The 7,214-nt window shown below is 48.1% G+C and overlaps 1 protein-coding gene across 1 annotated transcript in view; it reads right to left on the bottom strand.

Annotated features, from left to right (window-relative positions):
- The window catches only part of DGAT2L6 (diacylglycerol O-acyltransferase 2 like 6), a 28,222-nt gene continuing 21,346 nt past the window's right edge, over nucleotides 339-7,214 (bottom strand). Inside the window, exons 2-7 of the mRNA NM_198512.3 lie at nucleotides 6,662-6,772; nucleotides 6,161-6,231; nucleotides 5,584-5,788; nucleotides 3,979-4,153; nucleotides 1,527-1,738; nucleotides 339-1,091 (exon numbers count right to left, since the gene is read on the bottom strand). Coding sequence (NP_940914.1) covers nucleotides 937-1,091; nucleotides 1,527-1,738; nucleotides 3,979-4,153; nucleotides 5,584-5,788; nucleotides 6,161-6,231; nucleotides 6,662-6,772 — 929 coding nt within the window. The 3' untranslated portion in view covers nucleotides 339-936. The remainder of the gene's footprint in view (nucleotides 1,092-1,526; nucleotides 1,739-3,978; nucleotides 4,154-5,583; nucleotides 5,789-6,160; nucleotides 6,232-6,661; nucleotides 6,773-7,214) is intronic.

The following is a 7,214-nucleotide window of genomic DNA, read 5'->3' as shown; positions in this document are numbered from 1 at the left end:
GTCCCTGGAACATAGAAGGGACTTGACATCAAGCAAACTTACAGTTGGTGCATGGTCTTGTGGCTCCCTCCCTTCTGACATAGGATGGTTATGTGGGATCAGGAGAGGTGGGCTACACAGCGGGTACCTGTGCCAGTTCCCATGTTTCTGCTCCTGTCTCTTACACTTTGCAGCAGCTATGGTTCCATTCCCCCACCTTTTCTGTCCGGGGAAGTATGAAGGGTAAATAAAGAAGAGGAAAAGGGCTCTCCATAGAGCAGCTTTCTGGCCAGAAGGGAAAATCTTAGGTTTGAGGGAAGCCCAATAGCGAACCACAGAATAATCAGGAAATAGTGGTATCCTGTTTTATATGTCTAGAACTTTATTTTCAAAGAAGAAACAATGTAACTGCATTGCCAATCTAGAACTCTATCACAACTGACGGAATCCTGTCTGCTTGGACCAGGCAGCTACAGTTCAGGTCCCTGGTTTACCTTGTGGCAGTTCCCAAGTTGTAAGGAAAGGACCAAGAGGAAACAAACTATCCCTGTTCCAAATAAAGCTTCTAAGTCTAAACCTACGTAGTGATGGTGAACTAAGGTTTAGGAGAAAGGGGCACAGTATTCTTTGTGATCAGAGAGTTGGCTGGAATGATTCATAAGACTCCCCAACTGGGTTGTTGCCCTAAAATAACCAGGGGTGATACAGCCAACTCCTCTGGCTAGCCAGCCCTCCCCAGTCCTCCCCTGCCCCTCTGGTTCTTTCCCCTAAGCCTGCCTCAGCCACTTGGGAGAGGACTCTATTGCTAGAACTCTGATTTATTAAATAATTTCTGGCTTGGATGGTCTCCTCTCTCATCCTTACGATCTTTCCCTCTCCTGGAATTCTTCTTTTTCTGTGGCTCTACTTGGATCCCTCATGGCTTTGGGGGTTGATCAATGGGGAATGTGGCTCCTGTTATGTAATTGTCAGCTCTTGGGTCTCAGGGAGGCCATATTCAACTTTGTGTTGGTCAAAGAGCTTGCGCAGGGCACTGATGTAGAGTGCGTGATACTTGTCTACTGTCTTCTGGTTTGGCCTCTTAATCCTGGGAATTGGAAGGGGTTCCCCAACTATGAAAAAAGAAAAGAGACAAACATCAGAGTTCCCCCCTCAACTCAAACTACTCATCCCTCACTGGGAGCCATGTACTGAAACTCAGTATCTGGCTTTCCTCCCCTTCTTTCTTTCTTTCCCTTTGCTCCAGTCTCATCCTGGCCCCTGTTCTCTGATCATCTAATCAAACCCATGCTCAAGAGAATGCAAGCAAGCTCAGGAGAGTGGTGACAGAATGTGTGCGAATGGTGATGCTCTTGTAGCAGATGCTGATGTCACATCCATGAATGGCCACAACTCTTATCTGTTTAGTTGTCCTACCCACCCTGCTCTTAACCACACCCATTGCCCATCCCAGATGTGAGTTGGGTCCCCCTGGACTTGATGGATGATTTAAAGTGGGTGGGAAGTGAATGAAGAAACAGGTCATCCGGAGATAAGGGAAAGCTCACCAACAGTGGTAATGGGCCGATTGAAAGGCAGGAAGCCCCAGGATCCGCGAGTGAAGCCCCGGCCATGGAAGGTACAGAAATTTAGTCCCAGGATTTTTTTGAATGTGTCCTGGAAGGTTTTTTGGAACAACCTTAACCACGTGCCCTCAGGGAAGGTCTCCTGATTGAAAACTTCGTTCTCACCAAAGGAATATGAAGGGACAAGGTATGCCCTGCAAAGAGAGGGGCAGGAGTGTGAGCTCTCTGAGGAAGATCCCCGGAAAAATCCTCTCCAAGGTGGGAAACCTCTCCAACCTCCCCATTATAGGACAAGAACCCAAGCACCCAAACATCTCCATCTTCATGTCCCATTCCTGCCATGCCTCACTCTCCCAACTGAACTCTGAAGGGAGCTGCTGCTCTGCCTTGTCCTGTTATAGGGAGAAACTAATCTCAAAAGCTCTGTCTTCATTGCATCCAGCATGCAGAGTGTTCTTCGTAAACTGCATATCTGGACATGCCACTCCTCTCAAACTCTTCCAGAGCTCCTCAGTTTGCACCATGCTGCTTCCTTACGGCCTTTTTGCTCTAGCCTTCCCTCCTTGGCTAGCTTTCCCTTTCCCCACTCTTTCCTTGCAATCTGCTTAGCCATATTAAGTGTGCCTCATACTCTCTCATCTCTGTGTCTTTGTACATTCTGCTCCCTCTGTCGGAAGTATCTTCCTTCTTCCCTCTGTCTTTATGTGGCTCATTCAATTTTGCACTCAGTCCCAATCTCATCCCCTTAAAGCAACTTTGTTTGACCACTTCATTTCCCCCAACGCGGATTAGGTACCCCTCATCTAGTGCTTACCTCTCTTCTACACTAACGCTGCCCCAACCGTGTATTATAGTCATCTCCTTACTTGCCTGACTCCCCCAGTAGACAGCAAGCCAATCAAAGGCAAGAACTGGGTCATATTCATCTTTGAATCCCTAGGCCCTGGCATAGCACTTGACATGCCATAGGTCCTCACTGAATGCCTGAGTTCTTTCTCCCTTTTGGTCTGCCTGGCAACTCCTACCAATATTTCAATTCACAGTTCAGATGTTACCCACCTATGAAACCTCTATTCTGGGTCAAGATCTTTCCATAAATTGGTGCTCACGTGGCACTTTGTACACATTTCCATTGTAGTGTTCCATTTATTTAACAAATATTAAGCTCTTTCTATGTGCCAGCACTGTTTTAGGCCCTGGAGATGCATCAGTGAATACAATGGATTTTTAAAAATTCTGTGTTCGTGGAGTTTACTTTTTCTGGGAGGAAGACAGACAATAAACATTGAAAATAGTTGGTAAACAAATAAATAAAATGGATGAGCTATAAGAAGATAAGTGTAACCGGCAAAAAATAGAGCAAGATGGTCAGATAACTGTATTGAGAAGAGACATTTGAGCAAAGACTTGAAGGAGATAAAGGAATGAGCCAAGCAGTCATTTGGAGGAATAGTGTTCCAAGGGAACCGCTAAAGCAAAGACTCTAAAGCAGGAGCGGGTGGCCTGCTTGAGGGACCGCAAAGAGGCCGGTATAGCTATGATGGAGTGAGAGAGTGGGAAGAGAAGTGAGTGATGAGGACAGAGAGGCAGCTATAGACCAGATTATTCCGCGTCTTGCAAGCCCCTATAAAGACTTTGGCTTTTACTCTGAGTGACATGGGAGCCATTGGATTATTTTGAGAAGTGACATGATCTGACTCATGTTTAACAGGATCATCCTGGCTGAAGCTGGGAATAGACTCTTGGGGTGGGGGAGGTGGGAATAGATACAGGAAGAGCAGTTAGAAGTGTTGTAATCAACCAAGGGGAGAGATGGTGGTAGTAAACCAAGGGGTGGTAGCCTAGGTAGTAAGTGGTTGGATTCTGCAGGTATTTGGTAATTATATGTGCATGGGTCTGTCTTCTTCCATATTGGACTGTGAGTTTGCAAGGACCAGGTCTTATTTACTTTTATATCCTAAATGCCTAGTACTATGCCTGATATACAGTGGGTGTTCCGTAACTGCTGAATGAATAAGGTCTATTTCTCAAACCAGATTGTATGCTCTTTGGGGTCATGTCTTATCTTTTTGATCCTCACGGTATCAAAGCTAGTGCCTCCCTTGCAGTTGGTAGATTCTTAGGGCCTCTCAGTTAACAGGTTGATATAGAGTGAAGCCCCGCTTTCCCAGACCTCCAGCCTACCAGGCCAATGGGCAGAAAGTAAAAGGTTTTCTTCTGCTGTTCTTTCTCCAACTTCAAGTAAGAAAAGTGCCCACTGAAATGTATCTGGAGGCCCAAACATCCCTAAGGCACAATGTGAGGGGGTAGACAGAAGGAATTAGAGTGAAGATGGGGGCCCTCTAACAGGTGCCCAGGGAGGGCACCATTCTGGAGAGGGCTACAGAGGGCCTATGGCACCCTGACAACAGAGCACTAGAACCTTGGAACCCACCCTGTTTGCAGTGCCATCTTCACAAAACCTTTACGCTGCTTGAGGAAGAGAGTGGAGGCTCCTGGTCGGCACAAGAGAGCTTCAGCAGCTCCACCCACCACAATAACCACGGCATTGCCTGAGCCTTTCTGGGTCAGCAAGTACTTCAAGGCTGAGCTACTCACAGGGCACACACCTGTGAAACCAAAGAGTCAAGTGGTAGAAAAACTTCATTCCTGAGGATGGGGTAAGGGGTTTTCCCAGGCTCTTCCTTTTGGAGACAGTTCTTCTGTTTTCTGACTATTGCTGTTTCCACCTTTCTGTCTCTGACCTTCGTGTCCCGGGTTATGACTGCCCTAGCCTAAGATTGGTCCTTAGGGTCAGCTGTTTGCCTTGGGGGTCTGTGCTTCTGCAGTTGGGTCTATACTGAGCTCCTCTGCCTCCTACCATCCATAGCCTACTGCATTTCAGATCAATAGTATCTAAGCCCACCTCATCCCTCTCTACCCATGAAGCACAGCCATCTTCCACTCTGCCCAGCCTGACAACACTGGAGATCCTCCAGAGTTCTCTCCTCCAGGGGTAATCGAGACTAGCCACCACCAACCTGCTTCCTCCCTAAGAGTAACCTGCCAAAGGGAAGCCAATGGCTGGGGTTTCTGGAGAGTAGGCAGACCCCTGAGCCTGACCAAGCCAAACTGAAACGTAGATGAATAATGGAATGTGAATGACACCCTGTTGTTTAACAACAATCATCTAGCCTTTCTCACTTCTGTCTCCCATCTTTGCCCTGCGCTCACCTTCTATTGTCTACTGTGATGGCAGAAATTGCCTCCAGACTCTAGCCATTGAGAAGTATTCCTGCTCCAGGGCCATGCTAACCTCAGAGCAGAGTAGAAGCATCCTCTGGGACTCTAGTGGTCCCACCTGGCCCCTCCACAGAAATGTATCTTACCTTTGGATGTTTGGCTTCAGTTGTTTTCTGGTGTCCAGAAGGATGACTATTTGTCCAGAGAGAGAGACATTTGTCACAGTGCCCTGACTTGAAGCTGAGCATGGGGAAGTTGTTCTGGATACTCTGATGAACTCCTATCCTTTATCCCTTAGTATTTTATGCAAGTGTGAAGGGGTTCCAGGGAGATAAAAGTCATGGACCAGGAGGGTTTTAGCTAGTATGATAGACTTCAAAATGTTTTTAAGACACCATGGTGTACAAATGACCGGCCCAAAGAGGCCAGCTGACATCCTAGAGAGAGCCTGGTGAAGTTCGCCTGAGCTATCCCATTCACACCTGCTTTTCCCTGGATTTGTGTTTAATTCTTGGCTTTCATCCTCGATTTGCACTTTGGCATTGGTCCTGAATTCCAGCCTTCTGGTTCTCCCTCTGAAAAAAGTCCTGGTGACTCCTATGAATGCCTATAATTTCCCCTGCTGCCCAATCAAACCCTGCTCCCTAGATCTTGGACAGAAACTAATGCTTAGCCACATACTCCTGTTACGGGCCCAGGGTGTCCTGGACTTATTTTCTATCATGTACTCTTCAAGCAGGTAGTGATTGTCAGGACTTATTGGGGTTGCACCTTTGAAGTAGGTAAAAAAATAGAATTAATTATTTCTTATACTCACCCATTGACATCACATATTCTCGCACAATTGGGATCCAAAATATCCTTTCTAAGGTCCCTACAAAGGGAGTGATGGATGGGAAAATCCGAGCAATGCCAGTGGCCTCAGTGGCAAAGTTGATGAAGACACCAAAAGAGAGAATGCCATGGGGGTGATTGGCAATGATGTAGTTGTGTTTGGGAGAAAGATCATGAGTCTTCACCAGCTGTTAGAGGGAAATTGAGTCAGAGCATTGGCTACAAAGAAGGAAGAAACCACGTGTGGACTAAAATCCCAGCAGGTAGCCTATGTTTCCCTCTGGGAGCCCCAAATCCCTGTTCACTAGGTTGTCATCATTGTCATAGGATTGCCAGGGCTCACGATGGTCAGAGAGGCTGACCTGGGTTTGCCAGTGAAGGAAAGGCTGCCATCCACCTGTTTCCCCACCTGCCCATCCATCTTGGGCCCTTGCTTTGCATTATGACTCGGGGCCTTGACCTTCGCTGCTGACCACCAAAGCCTCTGAAAACATGGAGCTGAGTAGGGAGCAAGGGTCTGGGCAACAGGGACTGAGGGCACCCCGAGGAAGAGTGGTCACCTTTACTGGGAAGTAATTTCGGAAATACTTCCATAGGGTCCAGTTTCGTACCCAAGCTGAACGCCTGCCACCTGTGGGTACAGAAGGGAAGGGAAGAGTACACAGGGCATTGCAGTCCCTCTACCTCTCCCAGAGGAGGAGAGTTCTGCCTGCAGTCCTCAGGTCACGTGAGGGGCCTCCTTCTGACACCTCAGAACTGTAAGTACTGTCCCTGAATCCAATCCCCAAGACATAGGAAGCCCCTGCTCCTCTAGAGCCGACCAGAAAGGTGACAGGAAAATAGTCTGAAGCTGGGGGCACCTGCCCAGAGACCTCAACCTCATAATTCTTCCTGAGCTACCTGGTAGAGACCTCTGTCCCTGCTGAGCTTTGCTCTCCCTTCTCCCTCCCCTTCCTTCCCCTCTCCCCTACCCTTGGTTCTCCCCCTCTCCCTCCACCTCCCTCTCCCTGTCCTTCCATTCTTGGCCCAAACAGGACCACCATTGTGCCCCTGTCTCTTACCTTGACTGTGGGTGTTCCAATCATAGGTGAGCCAGGCTAAGGAGAGCACAGCCAAGGGCCAGAACTTACTGAATAACAGAAAGTAGGGTATAAGGAGAATGGGAATAGCTCCTGGGGAGACACAAAGGGTTCAAGCCTTTCAGTTCCCTTCAAGTTTTAGTATACTTCTCATAACCCCGGCCTCTGCTCTACACTACAGGAGCAGGGCTAGGCTGATGTGGGACTCTTCTCTCCTTCTCCCCTCTTCCCCAACCCCTCGCCCTCCATTTGTCTCTGCTGTGGTCTAGGCAGGCCTCTGAAGCCCCTGGATCTGGGTCTCCTTGATGGCCAAACTCTCAATTGAAGAAAGAGCAGAACCATGAAGTTGAGGTCAAAGGACAGCACGGCTTGGTGAATGGGAAGAAGAGCACATTGGGCTGGTAGCTGAATCCCCATTCTGGGACCTCTGGAAATTCTTTCTAAAAGCTTGACCCTCTTTCCTGTGCTGAACTGATAAGTCTGCATATTCCAGCAGGGAGGTTACCCGCAGTGTACAGGCTGTTTGATGCTGAAA

This window comes from Homo sapiens, chromosome X (assembly GCF_000001405.40).
Source record: "Homo sapiens chromosome X, GRCh38.p14 Primary Assembly".
Classification (NCBI taxonomy): domain Eukaryota; kingdom Metazoa; phylum Chordata; class Mammalia; order Primates; family Hominidae; genus Homo; species Homo sapiens.
The sequence above is the reverse complement of the archived record's forward strand: the minus strand, read 5'-3'. Positions and strand labels throughout refer to the sequence as shown.